Consider the following 14,482-nt stretch of genomic DNA (forward strand, 5'->3'; position numbering starts at 1 on the left):
TTCAGGAGCTTTTTTGCGTTGCAGTGAGCAGTTAAAACAAATCACTTTCATTCATGAATATTAAAATAAATACATTTAGCCTAAATAGATCTCCCAACATAAATAAATGAGTCATATAATAAGTCACATGATATTTTTTTTTTAAATGAAAGAATACCAAGACGATGATTTGGTTTTAAGGAACTAGTTTTATTTTTTATTTTTGGAAAGCAACTAAAGACTATTAGAAACACCAGTAGAAAGTATTTTGTGTAATTATAATGATGATGATAATTATCTGGTGATAATTAGCTAAGACTTATTGATACAAATTAAGTTCCAGGTACTAACTGAGTACTTAATATGTTACAGGCATTGGTGGAAAGGTTTTATATATATTAACTCCTTTCAGCCTCATAACAATCCTATATAATAATAAGTTATTATTATTATAGTTATTTTTAATTATTCCCACTGTAAGGATGAAGAGTTTAAGGTACAGAAAGTTCCCCTAGCTAGAACTGTGAGGACCTAGGAAGCAACACAAGAATACGCATGCTTAAAACACTAGCCAGTAATACTACCAGAAATCGTCTGTGACACCTGAGTCTGCCAAAGGAGTTGTTCCTTCTGATTCTCTTCTCACTTCATGTCCCCATGGAGCTGATATAAGCACAAATCTTCTGTTAGAGCCATGAAAAGGAGCATATTCTGCCTAAAATCACTTTTATTAGCGCTAGTTTAGGTACCCTTTTAGCAGTACAATTTGAGATAGATAGACAGACAGACGGACAGACAGACAGACAGATAGATAGATAGAGTTTGTTTGTTTGTTTTTGAGACGGAGTCTCGCTCTGTCGCCCAGGCTGGAGTGCAGTGGCGCCATCTCGGCTCACTGCAAGCTCCGCCTCCCGGATTCATGCCATTCTCCTGCCTCAGCCTCCTGAGTATCTGGGACTACAGGCGCCCGCCACCACGCCCGGCTAATTTTTTGTATTTTTAGTTGAGACGGGGTTTCACTGTGGTAGCCAGGATGGTCTCGATCTCCTGACCTCCTGATCTGCCCGCCTCAGCCTCCCAAAGCGCTGGGATTACAGGCATGAGCCACCGTGCCCAGCCATATATATATATTTTTTAATATATATTTTTTAAAAACACTGGGAAGATTTTTCTTATTGATAAGAAAGACAATGTCAAAGAAATACCAATATAATTGAAAATTTTTTAAATGTTCTATTTTTATTTTATTATCTTAAACAAACCCTTTAGCATGTTATAAATTACATGTTATAATAATAGGTTCCCATTTACTAAGTCAATACACATAACAGGAACAATTTTCTGTAATACACAAGACATGAAAAGGTAAATATGTCATTAGTAAAGTTCTGGCTTTATTATTATTATTAATTATTATTATTTTCATTTCAGAATTTGTGAGACTTTTCTCAGGAATTATCTTCTGTTAAAGAAAGCAAATCCTATGGCCATGGGCAAAACAATCATTTCTAATCCCTGCCTAGGATTTCAACATGATCATCAGATACTCAGTGACACTTTGAAAATTCAGCTTGCATGAGTGTCAAATTTCTACACTAGTGCCTGGGAGTCCTCTCTAACTTGTAAAACTATTCATGGGTCTCAAGCTATCATATAATACTCATACCTTTGTAGAAAGGGAGTGCAAAAGTTAATTAGTTTTAGCTAGAGGAATTAAAAGAATACATTATCCCTCTTTCAAGGAACCAACTCAAATCTAATAAAACAATGCATAACAATGGTAATAAAGCAACAACCAAATGAGCACTATTTAACGTAATAAACACTCTTTGGACATAGCCTAAAATTCATACAGTGTCTACTTCACATCTATAACAGATTCAGAATTCTTTCAGTCATCAAGCAATTTGGGGTGCCTGCCATGTGAGAGCAATGTGATAGGCACCAGGATGAAGTGGAGAGTCAACAGACACAGTCTCTAACCTTGTGAAGCTTATGGTCTTTGTCTATTCATACTGACAGACTGGATTCTATGTGGAGACCAAGGAATGACAGACTGTGGTGACAGGAAGGAGTGAAGTGGGAGAAAAAGAAATAGAAAAAGATGATCAGGAAAAAGTGAGAGTGAGATCATGGAATACATTTGACAATGAGAAAGAGAAAAATGCCTCCAAATAATCAAGAATAGCTGGCATTGCCCTATCATTGATCTAAAAGTAGCTTTCTTATAACTTTTTCATAATACCAAAACATTTCCATTATTAGAGCAGTCTTCATGAGAAGCCTAACTTTATATTCTTAGATTAATATTTATAGTTTCTAAGGCAAATAGTAAGTTCCCATATTTTATTATATTATCTTTCTTTTTCATTAAAACTAATATGCTACAGAGATCAACATCTAACAATGAAGTGATAAAAAGTGAAAAGTAAATGTCAGATCCTTATGTGGCCATAATAGCTTAATGACTCATATTGTAACACAAAGTATAAAGATACAATATATACAGCATATATGTATTTTAATTAATGCAATATCACCTAAATTATGTTTTAGGAAATTATTAGAAGCAGGAATAAATAAGATTAACTGTTATATAACTATATAATTTATTTCTAAAATGATAGTTTTTAATATTAAGTAGGTAGATAGTATATATAGTACACAATTATGTGGTTTTTTCCTTTCTTATATATTTCATTTAAGTTTTTTCTTTTTCTCTACTTCTTCTAAAAAAACAAAAACAAAAACAGGATACATGTGCAGAGTGTGCAGGTTTGTTGCATAGGTATACATACGCCATGGTGGTTTGCTGCACTTATTGACCCATTCTCTAAGTTCCCTCCCCTTATCCCCACCCCCCAATAGGCCCTGGTATGTGTTGTTCCTCTCTCTGTGTCCATGTGTCCTCAATGTTCAACTCCCACTTATAAGTGAGAACATGCAGTATTTGGTTTTCTGTTCCTATGTTAGTTTGCTAAGGATGATGGTTTCCAACTTCATGCATGTCCCTGCAAAGGACATGATCTCATTCCTTTTATGACTGCATAGTATTCCATGGTGTATATGTACAGCATTTTCTTTATCCAGTGTTTCATTTATATGCATTTGGGTTGGTTCCATCTCTTTGCTATTGTAAATAGTGCTGCAATAAACATAAGTATGCATGTGTCTTTATAGTAGAATGATTTATAATCCTTTGGTTATATACCAGTAATGGGATTGCTGGGTCAAATGGTGTTTCTGGTTCTAGATCCCTGAGGAATTGCCACACTGTCTTTCACGATGGTTGAACTAATTTACATTCCCACCAACAGTGTAAAAGCATTCCTATTCCTCCACAGCCTCACCAGCATCTATTGTTTCCTGACTTTTTAATAATTGCCTTTCTGACTGGCATGAGATGGTATCTCATTGTGGTTTTGATTTGCATTTCTCTGATGATCAGTGGCATTGAGCTTTTTTTATGTTTGTTGGCTACATAAATGTCTTCTTTTGAGAAGTGTCTGTTCATATCCTTTGCACACTTTTTGATGGGGTTGTTTCTTTCTTGTAAATACGTTTAAGTTCCTTGTAAATTCTGGATATTAGACCTTTGTCAGATGGCTTGATTGCAAAAATGTTCTCCCATTCTGTAGGTTGCCTGTTCACTCTGATGATAGTTTCTTTTGCTGTGCAGAAGCTCTTTGGTTTAATTAGGTTCCATTTGTCAACTTTGGATTTGTAGCAATTGCTTTTAACGTTTTTGTCATGAAGTCTTTGCCTGTGTCTTGAATGGTATTGCCTAGGTTTTCTTCTAGGGTTTTTATGCTTATGGATTTTACCTTTTAAGTCTTTAATCCATCTTGAATTAGTTTTGTGTAAGGTGTAAGGAAGGGGTTCAGTTTCAGTTTTCTGCATATGACTAGCCAGTTTTCCCAGCAGCATTTACTGAATAGGAGATCCTTTCCCCATTGCTTGTTTTTGTCAGGTTTGTTAAAGATCAGATGGTTGTAGATGTGTGGTGTCATTTCTGAGGTCTCTGTTCTGCTCCATTTGTCAACATGTCTGTTTTGGTACCAGTACCATGCTGTTTTGGTTACTGTAGTCTTGTAGTATAGCTTGAAGTCAGGTAGCAGGATGCCTCCAACTTTGTTTTTGCTTAGGATTGTCTTGGCTATGCAGGGTCTTCTTTGATTCCATATTGAAGTTTAAAATAGTTTTTTCCAATTCTGTGAAGAAAGTCAATGGTTGCTTGATGAAGATAACATTGAATCTATAAATTACTTTGGGCAGTATGGCTGTTTTCACAACATCGATTCTCCCTATCCATGAGAATGAAATGTTTTTCCATTTGTTTGTGTCCTCTCTTATTTCCTTGAGCAGTGGTTTCTAATTCTCCTTGAAGAGGTCCATCACATCCCTTGTTAGCTTTATTCCTAGGTATTTTATTCTTTTTGTAGTTATTGTGGATGAGAGTTCATTCCTAATTTGGCTCTCTGTTTGCCTATTGTTATTGTAAAGGAATGCTTGCAATTTTTGCAGATTGATTTTGTATCCTGAGACTTTGCTAAAGTTGCTTATCAGTTCAAGAAGTTTTTGGGCTGAGATGATGGGGTTTTCTGAATATAAAATCATGTCGTCTGCAAACAGAGACAACTCGCCTTCCTCTCTTCCTGTCTGAACACGCTTTATTTATTTCTCTTGCCTGATTGCCCTGGCCAGAACTTCCAATGCTATGTTGAATAGAAGTGGTGAGAGAGGGCATCCTTGTCTCGTACCAGTTTTCAAAGGGAATGCTTCCAGTTTTTGCCCATTCAGTATGATATTGGCTGTGGGTTTGTCATAAATGGCTCTTATTATTTTGAGACATGTTCCATCAATACCTAGTTTATTGAGAGTTTTTAACATGAAGGGATGTTGAATTTTATCAAAGGCCTTTTCTGCATCTATTAAGATAATCATGTGTTTTTTGTCTTTGGTTCTGTTTATGTGATGGATTACATTTATTGATTTTCATATGTTGAACCAGCCTTCCATCCAAGGGATGTAGCGACTTGATCATGCTGAATAAATTTTTTGATGTGCTGCTGGATTTGGTTTTCCAGTATTTTATTAAGGATTTTCACATCGCTGTTCATCAGGGATATTGGCCTGAAATTTTCTTTTTTTGTTGCATCTCTTCTCGGCTTTGGTATCAGGATGGTGCTGGCTTCATAAAATGAGTTAGGGAGGAGTCCCGCCTTTTCAATTGCTTGGATAGTTTCAGAAGAAATGGAACCAGCTCCTCTTTGTATCTCTGATAGAATTCGGCTGTGAACCCATCCAGTCCTGGGCTTTTTTTGGTTGGTAGGCTATTGATTACTGTCTCAATTTCAAAACTTGTTATTGGTCTATTCAGGGATTCAACTTCTTCCTGGTTTAATCTTGGTAGGTTGTATGCATCCAGGAATTTATCCATTTCTTCTAGATTTTCTAGTTTATTTGCAGAGGTGTTTATAGTATTCTCTGATGTAGTTTATATTTTTGTAGGGTCAATGGTAATATCCCCTTTATCATTTTTATTGTGTCTATTTGATTCTTCTCTCTTATTCCTATATAGTCTAGTTAGCAGTCTATTTTATAAATTTTTTTCAAAAAGCCAGCTCCTGGATTTGTTGATTTTTTGGAGGGTTTTTTGTGTCTCCATCTCCTTCAATTCTTCTCTGATCTTAGTTATTTCTTGTCTTCTGCTTGCTTTTGGATTAGTTTGCTCTTGCCTGTCTAGCTGTTTTAATTGTGATGTCAGGGTGTCGATCTGAGATCTTTCTAGCTTTCTGATGTGGGCATTTAGTGCTATAAATTTTCCTCTTAACATTGCTTTAGCTGTGTCCCAGAGATTCTGGTATGTTGTCTCTTTGTTCTCGTGGTTTAAAAGAACTGTTGGATTTCTGCCTTAATTTCATTATTTACCCAGCAGTCATTCGGGGGCAGGTTGTTCAATTTTGATGAAATTGTATGGTTTTGAGTGAGTTTCTTATTTCTGAGTTCTAATTTGCACTGTGGTCTGAGAGACTGTTATGATTTCAGTTCTTTTGCATTTGCTAAGGAGTGTTTTACTTCCAATTATGTGGTCAGTTTTAGACTAAGTGCCTTGTGGCACTGAGGAGAATGTATATTCTGTTGATTTGGGGTAGAGAGTTCTGTAGACACCTACAAGTTTCACTTGATCCAGAGCTGAGTTCAAGTCCTGAATATCCTTGTTAACTTTCTGTCTCGTTGATCTAATAGTGACAGCAGGGTGTTAAACTCTCTCACTATTATTGTGTGAGAGTCTAAGTTTCTTTGCAGGTCTCTAAGAACTTGTTTTATGAATCTGGGTGCTCCTGTATTGGGTGCATATATAATCAGAATAGTTAACTTCTTGTTGAATTGTTCCCTTTACCATTATGTAATGGCCTTCTTTGTCTTTTTTGATCTTTGTTTGTTTAAAGTCTGTTTTGTCAGAGACTAGGATTTCAACCCCTGATTTTTTCACTTTCCATTTGCTTGGTAAATTTTCCTCCATCTCTTTATTTTGAGCCTGTGGGTGTTTGCATGTAAGAATGGTCTCCTGAAGACAGCAATGAGTTTTGACTCCTTATCCAATTTGCCAGTCTGTGTCTTTTAATGGAACATTTAGCCCATTTACATTTAAGGTTAGTATTGTGTGAATTTGATCCTGTCTCATGATGCTATTTGATTATTTTGCATACTAGTTGATGCAGTTTCTTTGTAGTGTTATTGGTCTTTACATTTTGGTGTGTTTTTGTGGTGGCTGGTTCTGGTTTTTCCTTTCCCTATTTACTTCTTCTTTTAGGAGCTCTTGCAGGGCAGACCTGGCGGTAACAAAATCCCTCAGCATTTGGTTGTCTGGAAAGGAATTTATTTCTCCTTCACTTATGAAGCTGAGTTTGGCTGGATATGAGATTCTGGGTTGAAAATTCTTTTCTTTAAGAATGTTGAATATTGGCCCCAGATCTCTTCTGGCTTGTGGAGTTTCTGCTGAGAGGTCCACTGTTAGTCTTGATGGGCTTGCCTTTGTAGGTAACCTGGCCTTTCTCTCTGGCTGCTCTTAAAAGTTTTTCCTTCATTTAAACTTTGGAGAATCTGATGATTATGTGTCTTGGGGTTGATCTTCTTGTAGAGTATCTTAATGGTGTTCTCTGTATTTCCTGAATTTGCATGTTGGCCTGTCTTGGTAGGTTGGGAAAGTTCTGCTGCATAATATCCTGAAGCGTGTTTTCCAGCTTGTTTCCATTCTCCCCATCTCTTTCAGGTACTCCAATTAATCATAGGTTTGGTCTTTTTATGAAGTCCCATGTTTCTTGGAGGCTTTGTTCATTCCTTTTCATTCTTTTTCATCTATTCTTGCCTGCATGCCTTATTTCAGCAAGGTGGTCTTCAAACTCTGATATCCTTTCTTCCACTTGGTCAATTAGGCTGTTGATACTTGTGTAGGTTTCACGAAGTTCTCATGCTGTGTTTTTCAGCTCCATCAGGTCGTTTATGTTCCTCTCTGAACTGGCTATTCTAGTTAGCAATTCCTCTAATTTTTTATCAAGTTTCTTAGCTTCTTTGCATTGTGTTAGAACATGCATCTTCTGAAGCCTAATTCTGTCAGTTCGTCCATTTGATCCTCAGTCAAGTTCTGTGCCCTTGATAGAGAAACGTTGTGATCTTTTGGAGAAGAATCACTCTGGCCTTTTGAGTTTTCAGCACTTTTTCATTGTTTCTTTCTCATCTTCATGAGTTTGTCTAGTTTCAGTCTTTGAGGCTGCTGATCCTTGGATGGGGTTTTTGCAGGGGCCTTTTTGTTGTTGTTGATGCTTGTTGTTGCCTTCTGCTTGTTTGTTTTTCTTTCAATATTCAGGTCCCTCTTCTGTTGGGCTGCTGCAGTTTGTTGGGGGTTCACTTCAGGCCCTATTCATCTGATTCGCTCCCATGCCCAGAGATGTCACTCAAGGAGGCTGGAGAGCAGCAAAGATGGGTGCCTGCTCCTTTTGGGACCTCTGATTTCGAGGGGCACAAATCTGATGCCAGTAGGATCGTTCCTATAAAGGGCATCTGACAACCCCTGTTGGAGGGTCCGTCCAGTTGAGTGGCACAGGGAGCAGGACCCATTTAACAAAGCACTTTGTCCCTTGGTGGATTGGGGTGTGTGTTTTGCTAGGGGGAACCCACTTGTCTGGGCTGCCCAGATTCCTCAGAACTACCAGGAGGAGAGGCTAAGTCTGCTGGTCCACAGAGACTGCAGCCACCCCTCCCCCTAGGGGCTCAGGCCCAGGGAGATCTGAATTTTGTCCCTGAGCCTCTGGCTGGAGTTATTGAAGATCCTGAGGGAAAGCTCCACCCACTGACGAAGGATGTGTCAGGGTTAGGCCTGAAGAGGCACTCTGGCCACAGATTGCCACAGCCAGTGTATTAGGCTGTGGGGACAAGTCTTGGGACCAAGACTTCCAGCCTCCCTGGCCCCAGCAGGGGAAAAGCACAGCCTGGAGCTATGGAAATGGGTGCTGCCTTTCCCCTGCCCAGGGAGATTAGCATGTTAGGCCGTTGTGAGTCCCAGTGCTGGCTGCTGCCCCTCCCTCAAGGAGCTCAAATGACTTAGACAGCAGGCAGCGGCAGCTGGTGCTGGTCTCCTCTCCCCCCAGGAGTTTGGTAGGCTTAAGCAGATTCCAGCTGAGAGGGTGTAAGAATCCGTGCATTCCAGGGTTGGGACGCTAGGCCCCAGTGGTGTGAGTTCGTGAGTGGGATCTTCTGATCCATGGATTGCACAGTTCCATGGAAAATGCACAGTCACCCCAACTGGGTAGCGCACTCAATGCCTTCCTTGGCTGGGGGGAGGGGGTTCCTCTTCCCCTGTGGCTCTCAGGTAGGCTGCCGCACCACACTGCTCTTCCTTCTGTGGGTCACGCCAGCCTTCTCATCAATTTTGCTGAGAGAACCGGGATACCTTGGTTGCTGGTGAAGAATTCACATGCTTATTATCGTTTATTTCAATGGAAGCCTCCAAACATGGTTGCTTCTAGTCGGCCATCTTGCCACTGCTCCCCTAATTATGTATTATATACCACACATATTTAATAGCAAAAGCCATTATTATTTATAAAAACCCTTTTTCAGTCATTAGATGGCTGTGTCATTTAACTCACTGAAATTTTCAAACATCTTTATTTTATTAAGATTGCATTCCAGCATATATAATATTCCCTACATTCCTTTATAACTCTTCTATCCTTAATTAAAAATAATTTTTCTTCCTATTATTCATTTTAAGGTAACTATTTTATAAAATTAAACTTAAAGCTCTGTCTCAGCTAAAAATGTGTACATTCTTTTCTTTAACAATAATTATGAAAACTGACCTAAGGAATGTTCTTTATACAAGGGAAAGTAGTTATAGCACAAGGTCAGTATCTCTTGTGTGGTATCAAAGATGATTTAAATAGGATCCCTTGGCAATGGATAACTTCTTGTAAAGTTGTGGTATCAAAGATGATTTAAATAGGATCCCCTAGAAATGGATAACTTTAAATCAAAGATGATTTAAAGAGGATTCCCTAGCAATGGATAACTTCATGTAACATCAGTGCTGGAAATTCACTGGTGAATGAAACACGTGATCATCAGCATGTTATAAAGAGTGCAGCCTGATGAGAGGAAAAGCAATATCAAGAGCACATCTCTGTGTTTAAGGCATTGTAGAAAGAACAGAAATTATTATTCAAGAATTATTCCACCTCCAGTCTATAACATGCTATATGTAGCTTATGAAACATTTCACATAAGATATGACTTTGGTTTTATGTCTTAAGTTAATGTGAAGTTGGTGTCATTCTAAACCTGTTTTGTTAGGTAGTTACCATATTTCTAAGATGACACTGGTTACAAGATGTATTTATGTTCTACTTAGAATGAAAAAATACTGCCAATTAAAGATGACACAGTCTCATTAATAAGATACATCTCATTTTTAGAAATGTTATAGTATGAAAAACGTGCATCTTGGAATTAGTGAAATCCAATAAAGAAAATCTCACTCTAATCTCCCCCAGTCTAGCCTTTTCATCATTAATGTTTCCCCAGTGTCCTAAATTGGTTCATATCCCATACAAAGTGTCAGAATGGTGACTTCCTTACAGCAAGCCTTCTTTACTAAATCCTGAAGAGCCTGTCCCTCTTTTTGTGATAGATCAACAAAGCCATTTAAGAGAGTGTCCTTAATCATATCTCTATGCCCTTTCCATGACTGTTCCCAATGCCTATAGCACAGATCTATACAACTCCTGAGACTAAGGAAGTTCATGGCTTTCTAAAGCGCTTCCTGACAAATGTCTTCTTACAGTGTTACCTGCCTACTGGACTGTTGTCACAAAGGTAATGCTGGAATGATTGACATAAAGTGAAGAAAACAAGTAACTTTACTGGAAATGAAGAATACAAGAACATACTGCATGAAGTAAAGGGAAGCAAAGCAGGAACTATAAGCTTCCTAGGTTCTCAAGGCTCCACAATGCCCCTTGCTGACAATGTGATCACCTGGTTGGAGTAAAGATTTTGCTTTAGGATTCTCAATACCTGCCTATTCTTCCACCTACCTCCAACTATGCTAAAGGCCCTGGATATTTGACACCTGCTTGACCAAAATGTGCAGTAACCGATACAACTCCAGCACATTCCTAATTGCTGCAAGACCAAGTGAAACTATTCAATTCCCCAGACATAAAAACCATCAACCAGACAATATTTCGAGCTAGAAATAGGTACTTTATCACTGTATACATTTTATTTCCCATTCTGTTTGGGTTCTGTTTATTTATTTGGGGAGTTATTGGGTTTTTTTTCCTTTTTGAGAAAAAAGAGCACCTTTTATCTTGAGTGTTGTCAGAAAAAGTCTTTCTTACCAAATGGGCATCAGAGACTTTGTTACATCCAAAATAACAAAAGCAGACATTGTCCTGTCTACAGCAACACAGGGAATTAATATTTCAATGTCTAACCATTTTAAGTCTACTTACAAGTGGAATAATCTAGAGTTCACTGTGCAGAGTACATTGGATGTTAGAGTTTTTTATTCCTTAGGTAGAACTTTCTGACATTCTAATGGTCCTTTGTTAAAGAGAGAGAAAAAGTGGCCATTTTCAATCACAGAAAGTTCAATTCCAGCACCTACCAAGAGACATCTGTAAAGGGACTGGTGAGAGGAAAACATTTTTCACAATGAATGGATGCTGCCTCTGAGTTCTTTCAGTTCAGTTCTCACATCAAGAAAACTAATCATTAGGGATAAATGCCTATGCTGTATTATTTTTAGCTCTTTTGAGGAGAAACCTATTATTTCTTTCACTCCCTGCATGAGGCAGAAAGTATTCTCTTAAGGTCTCATAACATAAACAATTCTGATGATTTTCATATTGTAAGGAAACATCCTATATTTTATTGTAAACGGAGGCTAAATTATTAAGCATAAGAGTAAAAAATTATTTCAACCTTTGAAAATTCTACTTTGGTTACAGATAAGACCGGCTACAACCTACTTCAACTTGCAGTGCCTGGGAATGGTCCTGACAGGATTCTGGCACAGTTAGGGTTAGAACCCATTTCTGTATGAGGTACTGTGGTAGAGTGGGGTGATTGTTGTAGAGTGGGGGCAGAGATATTCTGACTTTCCACCCACGTGACCCTGGGGGAGTCAGCACCAACTAAACTACATGGCATGGGTTTCTCAAGCAAAAAGGAGAAAACTAATATTAGAAAGGGTGTGGGAGAAGCATAAATAATAGAGATTCCCTTCAAAGATATTTTTTTGGTGATGTGGATCCATCATCGACCCAAAAATTCTTGCTTGTCACTTGGGATTCATTCATTTACTGAAAGTTCCTGACAAAAGGCAGTATGATAATACCTCCCTGTTCACTGTCGTTACAGTCAGTATGGCCTCCATACATCACCTGAGATAGGGGTATACCACAATCACCCAACCATTCAGAGATCAGCAACCTCCACCTTATCTCACATGCAACGTTGGCTTAATACTTCTAAATGGTTATCAACTCCTGATCTGTGACATAAACATATAGCAATGTATTAACTACTGTTGACTAATTGTTCTTAAATAACAAATGAAGTGAAACCTATTTACTATGACTTAGGTGTTGACTCAGACCTGTTTTATGCACTCCTACTACTTTCAATTATTTCAAAAAAAATTTAGACCATCCTTTATACTTGGATTCTGAGAATGTTTTTAATTTTTGCCTTAGTTAAAAAGGTATTTATGATACACTGAGAATTACTTGATATACCAAAAATATTTAAGATTCATAGGAATATATCATTTGCTTGTCTTCTACAAAATCTTTCCTAGTTATATGTAGATTAAATATGGTTTAACAAAAGCTATTTAAAACTATCATTGGGAAATAATTAGCTATAAATAAGAAAACACTGTAAATTAACACAGTTTCTAAATGAGATTAATTATTATTAATGGACTTCTCATTTGGAAGTTCAAATCCAATTTATATAACTTCTTGACTAAATGTTATTTACTTTTGATATAAGAAAGCTTTTATATAACTCCTTGACTAAATATGTTATTTAGCTTTGATATTTTCACATTGATCCAGCTTTAAGGATTATAGTTTACACTTCGAACAATTAAAACTGCCAGATATTTTATCCTGCATTTGGCAATTATGAGTAGAGTGACTATAAACATTTGTGTTTATGTTTTTGTGTAGACATAAGTTTTAAATTCCTTTGGATATACATCAAGAAGCACAACCGGGGTAACAGTATGTTTAGTTTTGAAAGAAACTACAAAACTGTCTTCCAAAGTGGTGCACCATTTTGCATTTGCAATAGCAATAAATGAGAGTTCCTGTTGCTCCATGATTTCAGCAGAATTTAGTGTCAGCATACTAAATTTTGGGCATCCTAACAGGTATGTAGTGGTCATATGTTTCTTTTTAATTTGCAGTCCTTGATGACACATGAGGTTGAATATCATTTCATGAACTCGCTTGCCATCTGTATATCTTCTTTGGTAGGAGGTCTGTTCAGATCTTTGGTTCATTTTTAAAATTTGGTTGTTTATTTTAAGGTCCAAAATACTTGCAAAGTCCTTCATTATCTTGCCCCATTTCTATCCACCTCATCTCCTGCATCTCCCTCCTGACACTCAACATTCCAGGCACGCTAGCCCAATTCACTGAGTAGTTTCATTTTCAAATATGAAATGGAGGAGAAAAGGTCAATTTAACTATCTTTTCAAAACATCTGCTACTTCAAGGCAAGGTCTTCCAAAACTTGCCTCCAAATGGACTTTTAGGAGTATAAATCACAACTACCAAACCTGTTCAAACTGTTCTGCAGATACTGAGAAAGACTGTTGAACATCAGAAATATATTAATATCAGTTATCTGGTTATTATGAGTTCATGTCTGGCCTTCACAAAAGACCAATTGCTCATTTCAAAGCTGTAACTGTTTTTAATCAACAAGTGTTGAGCCCTGTTTAGCTAATTCAGAGTGGAGTCAACAGCAGATGGAAAAGCAGCTTGGCATCTGGCTTTGGCCCTGCTGCGCAATTGCCAAGAGAAGCCCGAGCATCCTGCATCACCTGCCTCTTCTGTTGTCATATGAATGGTTCATTTTGTGGCTCCAGCAATGCTTGAAATTGGCTGTCTGGTATCACAGAATGCCTGACCCTGACCAGGGGGCAAATGTCAAACCATGCCAGAAAGTGTGGCTTGGTTACAAAATGACTAGCAAAATACATTTCTTAGGAGAAGGGCATTGTGGGGGTTTGATACCAACTACTTATAAAATTATTCTATATTTAATTTTAAAGTTCACTTAGTTGATTGCTAGTCAGGCATTAGATACTAAGATTATAGAATTGTATTCCCTACTTCTATCCTTTCTCCTATATTCCCTACTTCTATCCTTTCTCCTATATTTTGTCACTAACATTCAAGTGTTTTGAGCATACAAAACACTCAAGCTAGTCTGACTTTGCTAAGAGTCTGTCCTAGGTCAAATTCCCTAGAAGCAGAGACTAATATGGGTATTCTTGGGCACATCGTCTATTGAGGAAGTGGTTTTAAGAAGCTGGAGGAAGCAGGCAGATTAGGGAAAGAGGGTGGATAATGAGGTTGCTTCAGAAGCCTGGCCTCAGATTGGTCCTCCAGGGAGCTTGGGACCATGAATTGAATCTCACAGGTTGTACCAACCAGAGTGAAGGAGGCTGAGCTGCCACTCCTCCACAGTAGTCAGTCATTGGCTGTGGGCCTCCCAAGCACCTCCTGTCTGCCTAGAACCAACCTCCAGAAAAGGTGCCCCTGTGAGCTTTCAGCAACCACAGAAGCTGGAGATGGGAGCACCAGCCTAGTAAAGAGGATCTCAGAAGACACCAAAGTGTCTTGGCAGCAGGAGACTTCACAGGCTTTTTATACATATCTCATTAACTTTTGCTATCCTAATTATTATGGCATTATCA

At 38.0% G+C, this 14,482-nt stretch overlaps 3 long non-coding RNA genes across 3 annotated transcripts in view, besides 1 other annotated feature; 1 reads left to right on the forward strand and 2 right to left on the reverse strand.

Annotated features, from left to right (window-relative positions):
* LOC107986766 (uncharacterized) overlaps nucleotides 1-11,591 on the forward strand; it is a 35,048-nt gene extending 23,457 nt beyond the window's left edge. The window contains exon 4 of the long non-coding RNA XR_001745090.2: nucleotides 11,496-11,591. This is a non-coding gene — a long non-coding RNA (uncharacterized LOC107986766). The remainder of the gene's footprint in view (nucleotides 1-11,495) is intronic.
* The window catches only part of MGC4859 (uncharacterized LOC79150), a 330,125-nt gene that overhangs the window by 213,981 nt on the left and 101,662 nt on the right, over nucleotides 1-14,482 (reverse strand). The gene's annotated exons all lie outside the window — the stretch shown is intronic.
* The window catches only part of LOC124900231 (uncharacterized), a 40,219-nt gene that overhangs the window by 464 nt on the left and 25,273 nt on the right, over nucleotides 1-14,482 (reverse strand). The gene's annotated exons all lie outside the window — the stretch shown is intronic.
* Nucleotides 13,979-14,179: a silencer, noted in NCBI's record as "peak6385 fragment used in MPRA reporter construct". NCBI's record gives its function as "represses an SCP1 promoter by STARR-seq MPRAs in K562 erythroleukemia cells {active_cell/tissue: K562}" and the evidence as "EXISTENCE:reporter gene assay evidence [ECO:0000049][PMID:32103011]".

The sequence above is a fragment of the Homo sapiens genome, chromosome 7 (genome assembly GCF_000001405.40).
Source record: "Homo sapiens chromosome 7, GRCh38.p14 Primary Assembly".
NCBI classification, from domain to species: domain Eukaryota; kingdom Metazoa; phylum Chordata; class Mammalia; order Primates; family Hominidae; genus Homo; species Homo sapiens.